This window comes from Homo sapiens, chromosome 8, assembly GCF_000001405.40.
Source record: "Homo sapiens chromosome 8, GRCh38.p14 Primary Assembly".
Lineage (NCBI taxonomy): Eukaryota > Metazoa > Chordata > Mammalia > Primates > Hominidae > Homo > Homo sapiens.
Window position 1 is genome coordinate 141,264,292 of NC_000008.11, and position 21,144 is coordinate 141,285,435.

Below are 21,144 nucleotides of genomic sequence, written 5' to 3' on the forward strand. Positions count from 1 at the left end.
GAGAGTCCACCGCCAGCCCTGAGACTGCTCTTTTATCACACACCAAATGTCGGCGTGCACTTGTCTCCGTTTCTCAAGGCTGCAATCTGTCCCACCCATGTGCCTGTCTACCTAGCCGCGGGAGGCAGAGAGGCTGCCGGGACATCTCGACCTCTGCTGGGGGAGGGGAGGGTCCTGATGTTGCTGCTTATTCCCCATCAGTGCTGTCCTAATAATTCTCTCATGTTTATTGCCAAGAACTTTATGAGCACGTGAACTTTTGATTCGCTCTGGGAAAAAAGTCTTTGTTGGTATTTTTATTGAGATTCCATTAATGTTATAAACTAGCCTGGGGGGAGCCAATATCCTCAGGCTGCTGAGTCGTTCTCTCCAAGAACAACAGCGCTCCTGCACCTGTCCAAGTCCACCCTGACGCCTTCGGGGAGAACTTAAAAGCAGTCCTTCCATGGTCTTCCACATTGTTTTCTCCTAATTAACCTTTGTCATGGTCACTGCAAATAGGATTTCCTCTGCCCTTATGTTTTCTAACTGGCTAGATCATGACAGCTGTTAAGTGTTGTTTATGAAGTCAGCTATAATTTACATGCAGTGAGAAGGTACTACCCAGACAGTTTCAACAAATTCCTATCAAGACAGAACCCGTCTATCATGCTGGAAAGGCCCCTGTGTTCCTTCCCATCTAATTAAGGCTATTCATTCTTATATTTTCAGTTTATAATCTAATTCTTTTGTTGTCTGAGCGAGAATGGACAAAAAAAAGAATATAACCAAATTAACAAGTCTACCAAACCATCACCAAAATATGCATAGCTGCCAACTTAAAGATGGATTGTATTTCCAAAGTTTATGGACACATGTTTGGATGTGATGGTCCATTTCCCGAGAGACAACAGTGGACACCTCGAGGCCCTCTGGTCCTCCTCACCCACAGCCCTTGCTGGGACTGGAACAAGGGCCCATGTGGTGCATATTTCCTGAACACGAAGACTCTGAGGCAGTTTGAAATCCTTCCCTTCACGGCCTCCCCCAGTCACTTCATCTCTAGGGCCTCACAAGAAATGAAAGGAAAGCAGCTCTGAGAAGAGAAGGGAGGAGTGTGCAGGGAGGGGCTGGGTGCCAGCGCGGGGCGTGTTCTCACACTGCGCGGGGGCAATCAGATACCATAAAACCAGTCCAACGCCCAGCAAACTACAGCCGTGAGGTCACTTTCTTAGAGCAAGCAAATTGTTTTCTGTAAGGAAACTATTTTATATAAGCACGAGAGCATTATCTGAAAAAAGGAAAATGATTCTTCTCTAGTACACAGCTGAAAACTCCCTACTGAGGCATGACGTCACACTGAACCCATTTAAGGGAGGTCACGCTCCTCCTTCCCCAGCACAGGCAATCCTGTACCCCTGAGAGCTGCTGTCGCCTCAGCTGCTTAAAATGCGGAGAAGCTCAAAAGTTAAGCTGTGACCTGTTCTAGTATCTCATATTCAAAAGAACAGTGAAACTTTTCGGGCAGATTTTCCCCAGCATGGAAAAGCAAGCTTCCCTTTGGAATCTGTTCCAGCGACTGTCGGGGCATTCGGTGACAACAATTTTGTTATGATTCGCAGATGCACTCAGACAAGCGAAACTACAATTGTTCCAATCAACAACTTCCTCTATTGTCCTGTTTCTAATTTAAGGGTAACTGATGCCAAAACACATGACTTCCTACAATTTGCTGAGTGGAAAAGCTGGCTGTAAACTTAAATTTCACCAAAAAGGTAACTGGAGAGTTGCTGCTGACACACACCTCAAGCTTGGGTGAAACTTTCAGATCTACAGCACAGTCCCAGCGTTCAACAGCGACAGGAGAATTCCGTGAGCCATGCTTCCTGGGAAGCGGTCTAGCGAGTCCGGACAACACGCGTCCGCACGGTGACCACAAACGTGTGCTGCCCCTTTCACAGCCCCTACACACGAAGCGCATGTACACGCACGCATGGGCCTGACACCATGGGCTGCAGACACCGCTTGTGGGCGGCACATGCTGATGAGGGCCGGCTCATGAGAACGGCTGTGTGTTTTCTGCACCCACCACCCAGAAACAGGCATGAGTAGGGGCACCCACAGTCAGACAAACCCACCACCACCATCAGCCTCGGACGGCCCCGTTCAATCTTTACCAATGCAGTTCCCCCAGTCACGGCCGGCACGTGTCTTCCTGCCTCTCCAGATGGCCACGGAGAGGAACACTAACAGCAGCATTGGCAATTCTGCGTCTAAGGCTATTTCCTGAAAAGCATGTGGGAAATCCCACTGACTTCCAGCATGAAACCAGTGTGTGTCAAGGGAAGAAGACGACAAGCCACAAACGGGGTAAAAGTATTCGCAAAAGACATATCTGATAAAAGACTGGCATCCATAATATACAAAGAGTCCTTAAAACTCAACGAAAAGAAAATGAGCTCTTCTACAAGTTCCTCCCCACATGTATTCAGTGCATGCCTGGCTGGGCAGGAAGTGTGGGGCAAGCAGTGTGTGCTGGAAGGGCGGAAATTTCCAAAACAGATCTAACAAGAGGGCCCAGATGTTGAAGTGCCTTATTCCCACAAATGTCCGCCATCACTCTACCATTAAGATACTGGAAATGAGGAAATGAAGTATTAATTTTCTAACAATTTGTGGTACCCTGGTCTGGCAAGCTGTCTTGAGCTATACTGGACTCAGAGTAGGCACATAGTCAAGCAACACGACACAGCAAGGGAGCCCCAGGACAGCGGTGGGCAGGTCCCTGAACTGCGGGGGCTGGCAGGACGGGGCAGGTGACCTGCCTGTGAACGGCCAAATCTGTGTGCGCATATAGCAAGTGCTGCATTCACCACAAGCCAGGAGACTTCCGTGACACTTCCACTGCCTTCCTTGGACTCTGGCCTTCCCTTGGCCTCAGCAGCTTCACTGCTGTCCTTCAGGAATGATACCGGGGCAGCAGCTCTGGGAAGCCGGCAGACCACCTGCTGCCGTGTCCCGTGGGGCCTGCGTGGCTACACAGTGCAATAGTCCAGGCTCCTGCACTGGAGTGGAGACGCTGAGGGATGGAGGCAGGCTCACCAGCGAGCGTACGGCTGTGCACATGCGTGCCTGCAGAGTTCACAGAAGCCCTGTGCGGGCAAGAATGTTGTGACTACTTGATGACGCCGGACAGTGCCAGGGAATTGCATTTTTGAGGCAAGGCAAGGCTTTACACTGTGTGAGATGGATTCTTATTACAGAAAGTAGGATGCACATGATGTGTTGGATTTTGAGGCTTAAAGAGTAGCGTCTGCTCAGTTTCAAAGCAAAGAGCTGGAAGAACAAGAGCCAATAAATGATCTTTTGCTATATGGGGGAAAAGATGGCAAAAAGTCTGAAGACACCTCACCAAAGATGATACACAGACAGCAAATGAGCATATGGAAAGATACTCCACACTCGAGGTCCTCAAGGGGTTGTAGCTGTGGTGCCACCACACACCTATGAGAATGGCCAAAGCTTAGGGCACGGACAACACCAAAAGCAGGTGAGGATGTGGGGCAGCAGGAACGCTCGTTCACGGTTGGCAGAAATGTAAAATGCAGCAACCACTTCGAAAGACGGTTTGCCCATTTTCACAAAACCAGACATACTTTCAACCATGCCACCCAGCAACCAAGTTCCTTGGTATTTACCAAACAGAGCTGAGAACTTATGTCCACACAAAAACCTGTGCTCAGATGTGAGAGCCGCTTTATTCGTCATTGCCAAAACTTGGAAGCAACCAAGACGTCCTTGTGTAGGTGACTGAATAAACCGTGGAACATCCAGATGATGGAATGTCATTCACCGCTAAACGGAAATGAGCTCTGACGCCATGCACGAAAAGATATGCGGGCACTTTAAATGAGTATTTCTAAGTGAAAGAAGCTACTCTGAAACGGCTACCAACTGCGTGATTCCAACTAGACGACTTTCTGGAAGAGGCAAAATCAAGCACACAGTAAAAGAAGCAGCGGTGACCAGGGCCTGGGGAAGAAGAGAGGCTGAGGAGGGTGTCAGGGCAGTGGAACTACTCTGTATGGCACTCTAATGGCAGACGCATGTCACTATGCATTTGCCAACCTACTGGAGCTACAGCACCCAGAGTGGAGACCCTGACGTGACCTCCGCACTGGGGTGACAGAGACGTGCCACTGCAGGCTCATCCACCGTAATCAATGTCCCACTCTGGCCGGCGACACAGACACTGGGGGAGGCTGGGAGTGGGGGCAGGGGCACACGGGAAATCTGTTATCTTCCTCTCAATTTTGTTGTGAACCTAAAACTGCTCTAGAAAGTAGTTTGTTGATTTTCAATGTTGTGTCCTTGTATTTACATAAATAAATAAGGCAATCAAAAACTCCTGATAATCCCTGGTTGTCCAGTGTTAGGAAGAAACCAAAACTCTTCATGAGAAAGGAATTAAGGGGCATCCATGCTGACTGCCGCGTACTTGGGGAAGCTTTCTGTGCCACCTGCTTACACCTGAACAAAGTGTCCTATCGTGGAGGCGCCCATCTCCGGGTGTGCTATGCATCACCTGGAAAAACCCAGCTTGGCTGCCTCTGATCATACAACGAGCCTCTAGTCCCAGACACATGGGCTAAAGAAATACAAAGTTCACACCAGTTTCAACGAGGCATGTGACATCCTGGCATCCTCCAAACACTCAGCGCCTCACGTGGATCAGTGTGGAGGGGCTTCCCTAAACTGCAGGTTCTGGGGCTCCACCCCAGACCCACTGGATCAGAGACCAAGAGTCTGCACTGCAGCCACTCCTGAGTCATACGCTGTATAGGGAGCGCCACGAGCTCCACCTCACCCGACAGCTCCAGGCTGCGCTGTCACCCTGGCGGGGCAGCTACTACGTCCCCGCTTTCACCCTCAAGAGTGTCCCAGTTAGAACACCCCAGCACTTCAGAGATGAATGATCTAAAGCTTAATTGTGCCTTAAGTCTTCTGATAACCGTCTTTGTGCATTTTGTGCCACAAGTCAGGGCACTTCAGAAACCGAAAAGGACGCACAGCAGACCACACATCCATCCTTCTTCTCTGCTCTCCTTTCAATTAGAGCTTGCTGTGAATCTGCAGCGGCAGAGGGGAGTGGGCAGAGGCCAGGTGTATGTGTGTCGATGTCTGCCTATGTGTCTGTGTGTGTGTGTGTGTGTGTGTGTGATGTCTGCCTGTGTCGCGTGTGTGTATCGATGTCTGCCTATGTGGGTGTGTGTGTGGGTGTGTCTGTGTGTCAATGTCTGCCTATGTGTCTGTGTGTGTGGGTGTGTCTGTGTATCAATGTCTGCCTATGTGTCTGTGCGGGGGGTGTGTGGGGGTGTCTGTCTGCCTGCGTCTGTATGTCTGTGTGGGCATGTGTATGTGTGTCTGTGTCTGTGTGTGTCTGTCTCTGCATCTCTGGATGGATCTATATGTGTCTGTATGTCTGTGTCTATCTCTGCATGTCTGTGTCTGTACATCTGTGCATGTGTATGTGTTGTGTTTGTAAAATACCCTAAGTTTGAAGAAACTGAATCAAGGAAAATCTGGAAGGGCCCCCAGGAATGAGCGGACACCGTATGGCCACAGTGTGTCTATGGCTGGCATCCCCACAGCAGAGGCAGCCCAGTGTGCATGCCCCCAGCATGTCTTTCCCCGCACTCCTCTGCTGACCATATGGGGCGGCCTGGCCCAAGCCCCAGACAGTGCCCTGAAGTCTCCTCCCGCCTCCTCCAGACCCTTGCCCTGCCCTTCTCACACCTGCTTGCAGACCTTGCCTCCTGCCCCACAGACCCTGAGGGCACAGCGCAGTTGGACTACCTCTGGGTCCAGCACACACGCAGCGCAGGCACCCAGATGGTCTTTAAAAGAAACGAATCCCTAAGTGCTAAAGGCAGAGGGGCCAGTCCAACCCATAATTACTCCATCAATAAAGAAAACCAGGGGGCGGTGGCTCACCACTATAATCCTAGCACTTTGGGAGGCTGAGGAAGGAGGATTGCTTGGGGCCAGGAGTTCAAGACCACCCTGGGCGACACAGCGAGACCCCATCTCTACATAAATAAATACATTAAAAAAAAAAAAAGGCTCGGCGCGGTAGCTAACGCCTGTAATCCTAACACTTTGGGAGGCTGAGGCGGGAGAATCGCCTGAGCTCAGGAGTTCCAGACCAGCCTGGACAACATGGCAAAACCCCATCTTTACAAAAAAAAAAATTAGCCAGGTGTGGTGGCACACTCCTGTAGTCCCAGCTACTCAGGAGACTGAGGTGGGAGAACCGCTTGAGGCCAGGAGGTGGAGGCTGCAGTGAGCCAAGATCGCATCGCTGCACTCTAGCCAGGGTGACAGAGTCTCTGTCCCGTGTCCAATGCCAGCGTGACCCTCGCAGACTCGCCCAGACCTCCAGGAGGCCTGGTGCAAGCTCATTTCCCTTTGCTGGGCCTGCTTTCTCAGCAGTAAACTCTACATACCAAAGGGCCCTTCCCCCAGCCCAGGGGGCTCCCTGGACCCCAAGACTTCCTCTGGGTCCCCACGGCACCACCAGCTCGACCAGCTCGTACCTCCCTGTCTAGTCAGTCACGTGCTTGTGTCTCCCCAGCCACGGCAAGATCCCTGACCCCAGGGGCAGGCAGAGGGCATGGCCTGGCGAGACAGGGACTCAGAAGGACCTATAAATGAGCAAATGAAGCGCCTTGGGTGCTAACGCCAAGCCAGAGTAAAGGACCTACAATGGCACTATTCCCACAAAGGCTCTGACTGACATCGACAATGCTGTTCTCATAGTTACTGATGAGCCAGAACGCTTGCCCGCCTCCGGCGCCCAGCACACGGGGCTAACCCCACACATTATGGCTAGGAAATCCACTGGAAACTGAGCTTACTGGAAGAGCTCCCAGAGACTTCCTGGAGAAGATGACCTTCCTGCCGGTGAAGTCACAGGCCAACTGTAGGATGCTGGTGGCAAGGCCCCTGCACCACAGGCTAGAGCATCACCTCACAGCTTCTGGGCTCTCCTGGCTGGCACCACACTCAATTCTGGAAGCCATTTTTCCATCTGCAAAGGCAAACCTCAGACTTGCCAACAGCTGTGGGATCCTACCAGGAACTCCCAGGGCCTGTGGGGCAGGGCACATGGCTGGCGACTGGCTCAGATGCCCAAGAACCACGTCATTCAGAAAGGCCACACACAGCTGGACAACGGGGTGCCAAGCCCCTACCTCGAGAGGCTGTGTGGGTGGATCAAATGGGAGCAGGCAGCAGGCATCAGGGTAATCCCCCTCCTGATCCCCTTCCTGACCCCATTTCAGAAGGGGCCAGGGAAGCTCAGCTCTTCTCCACCAGACACCGTTCTATCCCCCAAACAACTGGCAGGGGAGAGCCACTCTCACAGATATGATCATATGTCAGGGGAAGTCCGCAGTTCACCAACACTCTTCCTGACACCACCCCAGCACCAACACAGCACAGGACAGGCACTGAGTGTATATACACAAGTGTGCACACAACACACACACCACGTGTGCATGCAACACACACCTGTGTACACACACACACACGCACTCACACACGTGCATGCAACACACACCTGCGTACACATACATGCGCTCACACGTGTGCAACACACACCTGCATTCACACATGCACTCACACGTGTGCAACACACCTGCGTACACACATGCACCCATACACGTGTGCATGCAACACACACCTGCGTACACACATGCATTCACACACGTGTGCAACACACACCTGCGCACACACATCCATTCCCACACATGTGCACGCAACACACAGGCATGCTGAGCTGAAAGTGTCTCTTTCAAAAATTTTCATTTTCATTGATCTTCCTGATCTTCAAAACTATATAAAGACAGGAAATGCAATCTCCCTGGTTGCCATATTCTAATCAGAGAAATTCATTCAGTTTAGAAGCATGATTATGAAGCCTGCTGACACAGGTCAGGACAGTCCCCAAAATACACTAAAGCCAAAATCTGAACAGGAGGTGGTGTGTGGTGTGTTCACCAGCTCACGCGCTACGGCTGATCTCGCAGACTGGGCTCTGTCTCCCAGTGCACCCAGAACCTCCCCTCCCACCTTCTCCTCCACATCTGTGCCAGTGCATCTCCTGCCCAGGCTACCACGGGAGGGTCGTGACTGGTTTCACAGCTTCCACCCTTACCCACAGTACCCGCTGTCAGTACTGTGAACAGGGCGGTACCTTACAACACAGAGTCAGACCAGCCATTCCTCACCTCACGGAGTCCTGCCTGGCTCCCCAAACCCTTCCGGAGAGCCTGCCAGCCCAGCCCAACCACGGGGCCCTTGCCACACGGCACCTGCAAGCCTTAGGCCCTCACCCCCCCTACTCCTGCTATACCCTCTGCCCGCTGCCCCTCAGTGGTGCTGTCCTAGGCACACTGGTCAAACAGCCTCCTCGCCAGCGCTGCCTGGAGCCGAGTTCCAACAGGACCCCAAGCTCTCCCCCTTCCCTCCACAACACCAGACAGAAAGTAAACGCAACAGTGTATTTCAACAGGCAAAGGCCAGTGACAATTTACATGACGGTAAATACTCCTCAATACTGCATCGAATCAAAGCATTTATTACTCCACTTTCTAAAATTTAAGGGTTAAGGTGTTAGGATTTGAAATAAGACACCTTTTTAAACAGAATCCCTCTTCATCTTCTACCAAAACAAACTGTTACCTAAATGTCAACAGGAAGAAGATGCAGTGTCCGACACGTAGCAAACACGCGAGAAGAGCTCATTTAAGAGGAAATCACATGAAAACAAGGACACACTGCCCCCAAAAGAAAATATTCTCCGCGCCACTGAGCTTCTGTTAGAACATACAAAGTTTTGCTCATCTCCCTTCTTACCTGTATATAGTCTCCTTGATTTGCATGATCAGCTGAGTAGGTTTTTGGATTTTTAATTAAGAGGCAATGAGGGGTGTGCCCTTCTTTCCAAATGCTCAAGCACTGACCTGGTGTGTGTGCCAGGGTCCGAAGGACGCTTTGGCTGCCATGGAAACGGTGGCATGCTTCTAGCCTGCGCATCCCCTGAAATCTCAGCTGGGAATTCAGGAAAATCAAGCGCCAGTATCAACCTGAAATGCCCATAAGCCCTAGGATAAACTAGGTCTCCTCTGAGTCGCGGTTACTTTAGGAGCAAACGCAGGTACAAACAAACTGAGTCTGTCACCCGCAGCGTGGGAGAGGCAGGTCGCGTGTTCCTGACAGCACGCGAAGCAGCTAAATGGTATCCAAACATGGAAGCAGAAACCCTCACATCACACACATATAATCAAGAACTGACCTCACAGACAGGGCACAATTGAGGAATACCACTAATGACTGCCAAGATGGAATTAGACCTTTTGATGGTTCTTCCATGTAAAATCAAGTCAAATCAAAGCGGTTTCCAGGTCCTGAACTTAACCTCAAGCAGAAAAGAACATAGTGAACGTCGTGCTACGAAAGTGAAAAATGGAAATGGCTAACTGTCCAATGATACGGAGCTCTTTCAGTTATGGTGTGCACTCAGGACACACGATGTCCGTGTGTTTGAAGGGAAGTATGACGGATATTTCAGCAATGTTAATGTCAAAGCTTGTCTTTAAAAAACGTAAAGTTTGGGCCAGGCGTGGTGGCTCACGCCTGTAATCCCAGCACTTTGGGAGGCCGAGGCGGGTGGATCATGAGGTCAGAAGATTGAGACCATCCTGCCTAACACAGTGAAACCTCGTCTCTACTAAAAATACAAAAAAATAGCTGGGCGTGGTGGCAGGCGCCGATAGTCCCAGCTACTCTGGAGGCTGAGGCAGGAGAATGGCGTGAACCTGGGAGACAGAGTTTACAGTGAGCCGAGATCACGCCACTGCGCTCCAGCCTGGGCAACAGAGGGAGACTCAGTCTCAAACAAACAAAATGTAAAGTTTGGGCCAGGTGTGGTAGCTCACGCCTGTAATCCCAGCACTTTGGGAGGCTGAGGCGGGTGGATCACCCGAGGTCAGGAGTTCAAGACCAGCCTGGCCAACATGGTAAAACCCAGTCTCTGTTAAAAATACAAAAATAAGCTGGGCGTGGTGACAGACACCTGTAATCCCAGGTACTCGGGAGGCTGAGGCAGGAGAATCGCTTGAACCCGGGAGGCGGAGGTTGCAGTGAGCCGCGATCGCACCATTGCACTCCAGCCTGGGCGACAAGAGAGAAACTCGGTCTCAAAAAAAAAAAAAAAAAAAAAGTGAAATGTGGGTGAATGACCAAAACTTACATATGGCCTTGGCCTGGGGCTAGATTTATTCCTACTTTCTAAGACCAAGTAAACAACAAAACCACCATGGGACCCTCTCCCCTTCACTCTCCTCAATACCAGGGGCTCCGCCAGAAACTAAGGCTGAAGGTCAGCCATCTCGAGGGACAGAATGGGTCACCTCTACTACTTGCTGGATGACATGGCATGGCTGAGCCACTAAAAACATGGGCTAAGGTGACACTTTTAACAGTACCTCATGATGCCCTGTGGCCCTCTGCAAAACCCTTCTACTTCCTCGTGGATCCCTTGTGTAAACTCACAACAGGGGTTCACCACAAGGAAAAGGGGGCCCCAGGGGCATTCCGGTTCAGAGGGCCACTGCGGATGGGAGACAGAGGAGAGGGCAGAACGGCCACTTTCTCTTCGTGCTCTCCTGTCTTCATGCAGGGAAGTGGCTGGACAACTCTACGGGGCGTGGCGCCGGCAGGAGCCAGCTCTGAATTCCGCCAACCACATCGGTTCGACTGAAAACCCACGAAACATCTCCCCTCCTCTACGAGAGAGGAGTTATCCCATAACCTCGTGGTCCCCCATTTTCTGTGACGAGGAAAGTCAGTCTATAGTTCAGCGAGCAGCCCCTCATTTATCTGGAAAAGTCAGCTGTTCAGAACCAAGCGTTTTCTTGGGATTATGGACAGCAGCCACGTTCAAGATGAACAATATCTCCTAGGGAATTAATTGGGACAGTCCCGAAGTCAACAAAAATGACTTCTTAAAAACTGGAGTCCTGGTTAATATGTATCAAAAACCTTAAAATGCGTACAACTTTTGATCCCAAAATTTTACCCTTTAGAACTTATCATAAGAAAACAAAGCCACAGGAAGCCAGGCTTGGTGGCATGCTCCTGTGGTCCCAGCTATTCGGTAGGCTGAAGCAGGAGGATCACTTGAGTCCTGGAATTCGGGGCTGCAGTGAACCATGACTCCACCTGTGAATAGGTGGCGTGTTCCAGCCTGGGCAATATAGTGAGACCCCTGTCTCAAAAAAAAAAAACAACAACAACCATGAAACACTACAGAGCAATGCTTATTACACCACTAAGAAACCTTAAATATCCAAAAAAGATTGGTAAAATAAAGCATGGCATATCCACATACAAAATCACAAAATCATGATGAATGACAATTTGTTGACATGCAAATATACTTACCCACTACCTAAGTTTAAGCAGGTTAAAACTACATTATGATCACATTGAGTTCTTTAGAAAGGTACGGATGCAGATAAAAAGGTGTTATTTACGCATGTTTCATAGAGTCTTTCTGCTCCTATAGGACCTAAACTTTACTTTTTTTTTTTTTTGAGATGGGGTCTTACTGTGTCACCCAGGCTGGAGTGCAGTGGCTCAGTCACGGCTCACTGCAACCTCCACCTTCTGGGCTCAGGCAATCCTCCCACCTCAGTCTCCCAAGAAGCTAGGACTACAGGTATATGGCACCATACCTAGCTGATTTTTTGAGATGGGATCTCACTATGCTGCACAGGCTGGTCTTGAACTCCTGGGCTTAAGTGATCCTCCCTCCTCAGCCTCCCAAATTGCTGGGATTACAAGTGTGAGCCACCTTGCCTGGCCAAATTTACTTTTAATTAAAACAAACAAACAATAAGTTACCTCTAAAAACAGATTTTCTGGTTCCCTGTCCAACATCACACAAGTCTGGGTAAGTGATATGACATTCAGGAGTGTTTTAAGATGACTTACTGAATCTCAGATGGCCTAGACCTTCCAACAGAGGTTTGCGATGCGAGCAGCTCCTGAAGCTCAGTAGGGAGAGCAAGTCTGAAAAGCTGACTGCACTGAGGTGCTAGTGGGTCCAGCTATTTGGTACGGAAACACTACAGAAGCCTTCCCCAATCTGGCAACAGCATGAAAGTGGCAGGTCCATAACCCCACCCAGGAAAACAGCAGGTTCCTCCCAAATGTTCTTGGAACCTAGGTGCTACTCATTCCTCCAGGATCCTTGGCGGGGACCTCACTCGGACTCTGCCCCAGTGTCGCCCACGCCTCTGCACAGCACTGCACTCACAGGTATCCATGAGTCAGCCCCAACTACAAGGCACTGAGCCTACCAGGAAGAAAGGAGTCGACTGCCCTTTTCCCTTCTTTCCAGGCTGAAAGAGACCACAGGACATGGTCTGCTACAGGCCCACACGGGCTCAGAAGCTCTACTTCTTGTCTGGGTAGTTTACAGCATCCTCCCTGCCTGAGGCCCAGACAGCGCTGGGCTTCCAAGGCCAAACACCTCACGCGGGCTCCTCAGCTGAAGATATCACGGGCACCTTTCCAACTCATTAATTCCTAGGTGCTGACGTCCCCCCGGCCTAAGCACTGCCCTCCAGGATCGGATGGCCGCCTGTGAGCCAGCACAGGATGTCGCCTCCAGCAAGCTCCCAGCAGCAAGGGAAGGCAGGCAGAGCCCTTGGACACCTGCGAGCCAGGCTCTGAAGGATGCCCGGCACAGGGGTGAGGAGCCCGCGCCGCCCTCTACAGATGGGTGCGCCACGATGGCAACGGGCAATGCAAAGCCACACACGCCGGCCACATGTGGACAGACATCGTTTTGTCTGCATCCTGTGACACTGGTGAACTTCATCAGAATCTTCCTCATCTGGGGACACAAGACAGGTCCGGGTCCGGCGAGGACCGGAATGAAAGGACCATCATGGGCTACCAAAAAGACCAGTTTCAGAAATGTCAACTGATCCCTGCCCGAATATTAAAACCTTGCTAAGTGATGGACAAAGGTTCATGAAGCTGACACACAACAGTGTTTAAACCTAGAAAAATAATTAAGCCAAGCTACTCTGGACACAATGGAGTCCTCAAATTCATCAATAAACTGTATTTACTTTATGTGAACTCCAAATGATAGTGAGACCTGAAAGCTTATCACAGACGTGATAAAATCAACATGATTCACGTACTTTAGATGTTTTAGATTTTACTGTTAGTTCACTAAAAAGTCCACCCTTTTACTCTTAAAAAAAAAAATCTTCAAATTGTGTTATCTTTAAACATTTTTTTTTTTGAGATGGAGTCTTGCTCTGTCCCCCAGGCTGGAGTGCAGTGGGGCGATCTCGGCTCACTGCAAGCTCCGCCTCCCGGGTTCACGCCATTCTCCTGCCTCAGCCTCCAGAGTAGCTGGGACTACAGGCGCCCACCACCACGCCCGGCTAATTTTTTTGTATTTTTTTTGTAGAGATGGGGTTTCACCGTGTTAGCCAGGATGCTCTCGATCTCCTGACCTCGTGATCCGCCTGCTTCAGCCTCACAAAGTGAAAAAAACAATTTTTTAAGAGATAAGGTCTCACCATGTGGTCCAGGCTAGAATGTAGTGGTGCAATCATAGCTCACTGGTGACCTCAAATTCCTGGGCTCAAGCAATCCTCCGGCCTCAGCCTCCCAAGCAGCTGGGACTACAGATGCATGCCAACATCCATGTCCGACTTATAAGTCACTGTTTTAAATACAGCACACTTCTCATCTGCGAATAGTTCCAGGACACACCCTTACACTTTTGCACCTGCCTCAGCAGCAGCCCCGCCCTCTGACAGCCCCAGCACCAGGCAGCTGAGCTGAGCTCCTGCAGCACATAGGGAGCCTGGGCTGAGGCCACACTCGTGAGGCAGTGGGTTTCCCCGATGGGATCTCGGTGCAACCCAACAACTGAGCCAACTGGGACTCCTCGGTCTGTGAAACCCATGAGGACATTGGCGAGACTGGGTGAGCACAACCCATAAGGACACTAGCGGGACAGGGGTGAGCACCTGCGGTGGAAGCGGGGCGGGCGGCCGACCCACGAGGACACTGGCGGGACAGGGGTGAGCACAACCCACGAGGACACTGGCGGGACAGGGGTGAGCACCTGTGGTGGAGGCGGGGCGGGCGGCCGACCCACGAGGACACTGGTGAGACAGGGGTGAGCACCTGCAGTGGAGGTGGGGCGGGCAGCCGAAGGAGAGACAGGCCTCTGCCCCCTAGCCACCAGCAGCTGAGTGCTGACCACAGCCCCCACGGGCAGCACAGGCAAGCAAGTGGAGGAAATAGAGGAACTGTGAGTGAGCAGAAAAATGCAATGCAATCAGCTGACCAGAGAGGAAGCTGGGCTCCTTGCTAACGTCTCAACAAGGCACAGACGCACCCGCAAGGGAGTGGGCAGCACTGCAGGATGCAGCAAGGGCTGCTCAGACCTGCTGGGGGCATCCTTTGCCCCGGGCTCTGTCCCTACTGCCCCCAGGCACATTTCACTGCCAGGCTGCTGGGGGCCAGGGCTCCAGCCTCCAGGGCAGCACACCTCAGCCTGCTCTGTCCCCTTCAAGGCCAGACAAGCAAAGCCCCAGCCCCCACCTTGGCCCCCAGCCTGTGGGCACAGTTTCTCTCCACAGGCTTGGCTGGGCCTGGCTTCCACACCTTCCAGCTCCAGCCTTCACCCCAAGACCCCCACCTCTGTGACGGCTCCCACATTCTGCGGGACCCACCTCCAGGCTCTGCTGGTTCTCCTCTCACCTCCTTCCCCCACGCAGCCTGGAAAGGAAGGGCCGATGCTCGTGGGAGCCCCTGTGGCCTCGGGGCCCTGGCTCTATCCCCACCGTGCCAGGCGGCCTTTCCTTGCCTCCCATCCGCCTACTCAGAAGCCCAGGATGGCTGCCAGGTGAAGGAAACGGCTCTGGAGGGGAGCCAGGACAAGTCTGGCTTTACTGAAAAGTAACATCCGCAGGACAGACTCATAGCTGACTTTGTTTGAAGGAGCAAGTCGGCTAAGAGTGTCATTTTCCTTTACACCTGCAATCCCACGGACCACATCTCAATGCCCTCTACCCCCATTCTTACGTCTGTCACTTGCTCTTTCACATACGTTGCAAGTCTTTGATGAGGGAGGCCAGCTTTCCCTCTGGAAGGAGATGCCTTCAGTTGTAAACCGACAATTCATAAAAAGTTGGGGGCTTCGAGTACACAATTCCGCATTCCCGAGAAGCCTGCCAATCATGCAGTGGAAACACCTGACCTGGTGCATCGCGCACCCCTCCCTGGCCAGGCTGCCCTCCCTGGCACACGCCCCGCGCTGGCCGGCAACAAACAAAACCCACACGGACAAAGGAGTCTTTACAAGAACAGCCAAAACAATTCCATCTGCGAACAAAAACTAACGGCAGAATTAAAGGCTGCAAGTCCAAACACAATCTGGCTATTGTAAACAGTGCCTCAGTTTATCAATGTAACAATAACTCTTTCAAAGATTAATAAAGTTCCCCCCAAACACTCAGCAATCTAGCATTGTTAAGATACTTTGGAGGATAAATATTAGCTTGGGACTCGCCTACATGAGAAGTGAAAGCTGCCAAGACAGCAGTTCTAAAGCAAGAACCAGCGGCAGCAGCGGCGGCCACAGGGCAGCGAGGCATGGGCCCAGGCACTGCTTCCAGCCTTGCCGCACATCAGTTCGACTCCCCAGGCACCTCCTTGCACCCAGCACCACGCTGGCCCCTCACCCCGTGTCACACTCCACATGCAGCCCCCTGCGAGCTGAGCAGCAGGACTCACCTTGGGCACTGTGAGTGAGACAGAGCAAGGGCACCAATCCTCTGGGCCCCACGTGCCCCCTGCCCACCCTGTCCTGGGGTCACTGGCTCGTGAGGGCGGGACTGCGACTCTGTCTCCTGGATCCCTGATGGCCAGGCGCCTGGCAACAGATAAGCCACCCACAGCAAACAGGAATAGGTGGAAAATGGACTTAACTAAAAGGAGAGGTTTTAAGATGATTGTTGGAAATAAAAGGGAACAAAGGAGCATTCAAGCTTAGATTTGATTCCAACTTACTTTCTTGAAAGACATTTAAGTAACCTGGGTAACCAAATGCAACATGGTGTTGGGGCCAGCTCTGAGAGCAGTGGGTCACGCGGGGCCCCTGCAACATGGTGTTGAGGCCGGCTCTGAGGGCAGTGGGTCACTCGGGGCCCCTGCTATCAGCAATCCCAGGTTGAGACTCCAAACAGCCAGGCTGAGTGGGTGCTAGGCTGGCCCACCCTCTGCAGGGTGTGTTTTTGCCCCACCCGTACCTCCACCATGGGGGTTTTTGTTCGTGTAATGCGACAGCGTGCAGCTCCACACACACAGGAAGCAAGCTGTCAGGACAGAGCCTGACTCGCACAGGTAACTGGAATCCTCCCCAACAGGTGGGTGTGCAGAGAGCAGGTCCCTGTCCGGGCACCTCCCGAAGGACTGTCTTAGCACGACCTTGCTTCTCCCAGGGGAGGGAAAGGAAAAGGGCCTCGTGAGGTCTCCGCAAGACCGGGCTGTGCGTCCTACACCAGGCTGCCTTCTCCTGCACATTTTCCTACTCAAAGACAACGGAGTCCAGGCATCCTCTCAGCATCGCACGAGTTCCCCTGGTGCAGAAAAACAGACTTTAAAAGTCTGAATCAGTCTCAGCCAAGTGTGGTGGCTCATGCCTGTAATCCCAGCACTTTGGGAGGCTGAGGCGGGTGGATCACCTGAGGTCAGAAGTTCGAGACCAGCCTGGCCAACATAGTGAAACCCTGTCTCTACTAAAAGTACAAAAATTAGCTGGGTGTGGTGGCAGGCGCCTGTAATCCCAGCTACTTGGGAGGCTGAGGTAGGAGAATCACTTGAACCCGGGAGGCGGAGGGTGCAGTGAGCTGAGATCACGCCACCGTACTCCAGCCTGGGTGACAGAGCAAGACTCCATCTCAAAAAACAAAAAAACCTCCGAATCAGTCTCCTACAGTAGCTGTGACTGTGACAGGCTCAGCCCTCAGTTTCCCCACCTGTAAATGGGAGCAACACTGCGAGTGTTGTAAAGGGCAGGTGGCGACACAGCACAGTGCCTGTCACAGCAGGCTCTCACGGACAGAGCGGTTGCTAATGGCCTTAAAGCTCCGCGGCAGCACGTGGCCCCTCGACTGCTCTCAGAGACAAGGTACTGTCAACTAAGGCGACTTTCTGAAATGGCCTTAGGATGAGTCAAATCCTTGGTTCAATACATGACAGTGTTTGCACATACACAGACTCAGCCTGAAAGAGACAAAAAACACAGGACCATCTAGCTGAAAAGCAGCAGCTACTGAACATGGTCTAATTTTTGTTTCAATGGCTCAAAAGAATAAAAGAATCATCTAATAATGATGATATCATTGGTTTCATTAGGATTTTTACCCAGTTGTCACTAAAAGGGATATATTTTTGGTTTAGAAAACGAAAACCTTAGGTTAATAAGTGTTTCGCACTGGTTATCAGAAAGCCAGTGAAAGCCTGGCCCCCGTCCGGAGCTGCACGGCACCTTTCCTAACGCCAGGACGCGTGGTGGCTCCTGCCCCGAGCTGCACGGCACCTTTCCTAACGCCAGGACGCATGGTTGGCAAGGACACGGGTCAGCCATGGGGCTCCCAGGATTGACCTCCAATTCCTCATCTGGGGAAGCCCAGAGCAAATCGAAGGATGCATGGGAACCTCCTTTGGAAGTAGGACGATCGTCAGAAATACAGGCAGGCCCGGGTCTCAGGACGTCGAGGATGGAAGGAGCATCCGAGCTGATCCTGCCCAACCTCGAACCTGCAGGGTAGAAACAGAGCCCGGGAGGCCAAGGGGGGGCCCTCAGCAAAGAGGACAATGACACGTGAGCAGAGCCGACCTGACACTATGCTCCTCCTGCCTTCCCAGGTGGCCCCACGATGGAGTTTCCTCGAATTTCCTGAAAACTGGCCAGCTGCTCTGAACGAGCCTGAAGAAGGCAGCTGCACAAACTTAAGCAGCCACTAGTCAAGCTCACCCGCTGGGCGGCCCCGCCTCCACCAAACTGCACTTCTGAGCCTCTGTCTCCATCGCTGCCCTCCCTCCAGGCCGCCGCTCAGGGCACGCCGCCTCCATCGCTGCCCTCTCTCCAGGCCACCACTCAGGGCGCGCTGCGCTCAGCTCACACCACCCCGTGCACAGCTCGTGGATGCGGTCCTCCCTTTTCCATGAACTCTGCACTCGCCTCCCCTTTGCACTTCACAACATTAAACTTCAACCCAACGTCCAAGGCCTGGGCTACAGGTAACAGATGCCAAGAAGTCAACCATCTTTCCCGGGGCTGGCACTGCCTTCGCGATTTGGGACGATGTCGCAAGAGTCTGCCGTGCGCCTCCAGTGCCTGAACAGGCAGCTGCAAGTCCGTGGGCCTGAGCTCAGCTCCTTTCCCGCTCAAGTGCCACAGTGACTTCTCATCTGGGTGCCCAGAAGTGGGGCTGGCTGGCACGTGAGTCAGAGATGCAGGGCAGGGGTCACACGATGTCAGCGCGGCCTCGTGCCTAGGCCATGAGGCCTAGCGGAGACGTGCACAGACCTGCGGCAAAGCTGCAGACCGGCATCCTGCCTGAGGCTCAGTGCCAGAGGCCAGCAGAAGTTTCTGGCAAAACCTGAAGGGATAAAGAAGTGCTGATAAACCACCCCTACTGCCTCTGGAATGTTTGTGATTTTATGATTTTCTGCATCCAAAATTTGTCACATCACTGCTTCTCCTATCCCACAACCTCACGAACATGAGATTCCTCAAGTCCTGAGCTAGATGCTAGATACGGAACCTCTGAAGCATGACTCTGTGGGGAGCCCAGGCTACGACACCTCAAGAACACTGCAGCCTCTGCGAACATGAGGAAGATGAGCAGGTGGCGCTCAGTACTTCTCTCTAAGGGGCACCAGTGGCAGTGCCTGGCCTCCTAGCAGGCCCAACAGTCTCACGTCCTGGGAAGGTTCCCTCCCAGCCCCAAAGCTCCAGGCCTACCTCTAGCTCCCAGTGCAGTGCACCCTGGGACAGGCAGGAGAAGGCAGCAGAGAGGAGAACCAATGAAGGCTTCTCGCACTGCATCCCTGGATGTCCCAACCGCTCCAGAAATCAATTCCAGGCATCAACATCGGTGTCACCCCCGCCTACGCTTTAGGCTAGTCCCAGGGGGCAGCAAGGGACAAAGGGCACCACCGGGCTGTGGTCAGTCAGCTTTCAGCCACCCAAGTGCAAAGCCTCAAGGATTTTCCTACAGTGACTGCTGGGCAGCTTGAAGGAGCAGAAGAAAAGTGGCAGTGTGGGTACAGCCCAGCCACACTTCCACGTGGACCCAGAAGAATCAACGGCAGCCAGGTTACAAAGGGAAACCTCCAGCTCCACCCTGCTCCCTACTGCAGCAGGGCCCATGATGGCTGGACATTTGAAAACAGAAAACTCCCAGAACCAGCACGTTACAAAGCACTTAGGGACATCAAAGCCCAGCTCTGCACATGAGCTCTACGGAAGGAGAGTTTCACCTGCTCAAACCCAATCAGGCTGTGTGGAGCTCATGCCACCTAAAGAGGCTGAGGAAGCCTGAGACGCAAAGTCTTCCTGCTCATCCTAATGGCAGGAGCTTCCTTTAACTAGGACTGCTGATATATTTTCTCCACTGGCTTTCATGTACACATTATGCAATTTGCTTAATGACTCAGTGATTATTTGATGACAGTCACCTTCCCCCAAACCACCCGCACCTAGATCAACTGTCCACCTAGATCAATCGTTCATCTAGGTCAACTGTCCACCGTCAAGTCATGAAGACTCTGAGGTCTGGGATGTAAGAAGGACAGCCCAAAAGAGAGCTCGGCTGGTGGGCACAGGGACCTGGGGCCTCGAGAGCAAAGAACAGGTGGCCACAGGGCCAGGGTGGCAGTGTGCACTTGAGGGCACCTGCCCAGCGCCCACCCCAGCCAGTGCGGGTCTCTCCTCGCACCAGCTCGGGAGGGAGGGGCCACCCCCAGCACTCCACGGCCATCCGGGGAAGGAAAGTTGGCGGGGCTGGCGAGGACGTCTGGTGTCTATAAAAAATGTTTCTCCCAGGAGGGCCGCTGAAAACAGAGACTCTGAGATACTCTCATTCTTTTCCTTATTTGCCACTCTGAAAAATAAGCCGTTCTTCCTATTCTGAAATGGAATACAGGTCAAAACCTCCTACGGTGAACAGTGACCCAAAGAAAAAGATCACTAGATCCAAAATATTTCTAGTTTGGCCAGTGGCCCCAAGTAACTCTGTTTATTTGGTTAGAGCAAAGCTCTCCTGGGGGATGAAACGCCTACCCCAGTACAAAGCCTGCCTGTGTCTGCCTGGGTCCCATGAAGAAGGACTGAAGGGCAGGAGGCTCCTTGCCCCTCCGCACCCCAGGAGGCCCTTCTGTGTTCCCACCAGGGCCTGACTGTGGAAGAGAACAGCTGCCCGTGCCCCCTGCCCCGCCCCTGTCCCTGCCACGGCTGACATTTAGGAGCTCTGTCCCAAGCGTCCACCGTGGCATGCAGAGCCGCCCCACACCCCGACTCCCTGGGGCCTCGGCCCCCCAGCAAGGCCGGCTTGACAGGAACCAGTAGCCAGCAGAGGCCTGAGCAGAACAGGGTCCGGAGCTGGCAGTGGGGCTCGGGGCCACTGGTTCCCAAGCAGACTTCCCCCACCTCACAGGCAGCTTCTCCTCTCCAGCGGCCCAGCGGGATCCAGCACGGACTGAGGGCGGGTGAAACGCCAGCTCCTGCCTTCAGCACGTGGTCACTGCCCTGCCCTGCCTGCAACAGCAGCCACCAGAGAGCGTCCGCTGGGAACCACAACGCGCCCGCACCCCAGCGGCCATCCTCGGGTCACGCAGCCTCATGGCTTCCTTCACTGCCGTGGCTGAGATTCCTCGGCCTGCGCCATGACGGGGCCTCGCCTACGTTGGAAGATAGGTGGTTCCCCCGTGTGCTCCCCAGTTACACGGGTTCGACCTTCACTAAATCTTTACCGAATCCCCACTCCACAG

The 21,144-nt window shown here is 52.7% G+C and overlaps 1 protein-coding gene across 20 annotated transcripts in view, besides 8 other annotated features; it reads right to left on the bottom strand.

The window, feature by feature from the left end:
• The window catches only part of SLC45A4 (solute carrier family 45 member 4), a 101,115-nt gene that overhangs the window by 57,118 nt on the left and 22,853 nt on the right, over positions 1-21,144 (bottom strand). Inside the window, exon 1 of one of the 20 annotated variants that reach the window (XM_047422001.1) lies at positions 15,194-15,740. The exons of 15 other annotated variants lie outside the window; for them this stretch is intronic. The gene's annotated coding sequence lies outside the window, so the exon portion shown is untranslated. Of the gene's footprint in view, positions 1-2,156; positions 7,543-15,193; positions 15,741-21,144 lie in introns of those variants that run through there. 4 more of the 20 variants (XM_047422010.1, XM_047422000.1, XM_047422013.1 and 1 more) reach the window with 4 other exon arrangements.
• Positions 6,531-7,201: an enhancer, noted in NCBI's record as "H3K27ac-H3K4me1 hESC enhancer chr8:142280921-142281591 (GRCh37/hg19 assembly coordinates)". NCBI's record gives its function as "activates a minimal SCP1, AML or CMV promoter by ChIP-STARR-seq in primed H9 embryonic stem cells {active_cell/tissue: H9 hESC(primed)}" and the evidence as "EXISTENCE:reporter gene assay evidence [ECO:0000049][PMID:30033119]".
• Positions 7,202-7,871: an enhancer, noted in NCBI's record as "H3K27ac-H3K4me1 hESC enhancer chr8:142281592-142282261 (GRCh37/hg19 assembly coordinates)". NCBI's record gives its function as "activates a minimal SCP1, AML or CMV promoter by ChIP-STARR-seq in primed H9 embryonic stem cells {active_cell/tissue: H9 hESC(primed)}" and the evidence as "EXISTENCE:reporter gene assay evidence [ECO:0000049][PMID:30033119]".
• Positions 12,150-12,726: an enhancer, noted in NCBI's record as "H3K4me1 hESC enhancer chr8:142286540-142287116 (GRCh37/hg19 assembly coordinates)". NCBI's record gives its function as "activates a minimal SCP1, AML or CMV promoter by ChIP-STARR-seq in primed H9 embryonic stem cells {active_cell/tissue: H9 hESC(primed)}" and the evidence as "EXISTENCE:reporter gene assay evidence [ECO:0000049][PMID:30033119]".
• Positions 13,751-14,560: an enhancer, noted in NCBI's record as "H3K27ac-H3K4me1 hESC enhancer chr8:142288141-142288950 (GRCh37/hg19 assembly coordinates)". NCBI's record gives its function as "activates a minimal SCP1, AML or CMV promoter by ChIP-STARR-seq in naive H9 embryonic stem cells {active_cell/tissue: H9 hESC(naive)}" and the evidence as "EXISTENCE:reporter gene assay evidence [ECO:0000049][PMID:30033119]".
• Positions 14,327-14,396: an enhancer, noted in NCBI's record as "active region_28053". NCBI's record gives its function as "activates an Ori minimal core promoter by ATAC-STARR-seq in GM12878 lymphoblastoid cells {active_cell/tissue: GM12878}" and the evidence as "EXISTENCE:reporter gene assay evidence [ECO:0000049][PMID:35858748]".
• Positions 14,407-14,486: an enhancer, noted in NCBI's record as "active region_28054". NCBI's record gives its function as "activates an Ori minimal core promoter by ATAC-STARR-seq in GM12878 lymphoblastoid cells {active_cell/tissue: GM12878}" and the evidence as "EXISTENCE:reporter gene assay evidence [ECO:0000049][PMID:35858748]".
• Positions 17,508-18,317: an enhancer, noted in NCBI's record as "H3K27ac-H3K4me1 hESC enhancer chr8:142291898-142292707 (GRCh37/hg19 assembly coordinates)". NCBI's record gives its function as "activates a minimal SCP1, AML or CMV promoter by ChIP-STARR-seq in naive H9 embryonic stem cells {active_cell/tissue: H9 hESC(naive)}" and the evidence as "EXISTENCE:reporter gene assay evidence [ECO:0000049][PMID:30033119]".
• Positions 19,565-19,779: a silencer, noted in NCBI's record as "fragment chr8:142293955-142294169 (GRCh37/hg19 assembly coordinates)". NCBI's record gives its function as "represses an EF-1alpha promoter that drives an FKBP-Casp9 reporter gene in an ReSE screen in phorbol 12-myristate 13-acetate-treated (for megakaryocytic differentiation) K562 erythroleukemia cells {active_cell/tissue: K562(+PMA)}" and the evidence as "EXISTENCE:reporter gene assay evidence [ECO:0000049][PMID:32094911]".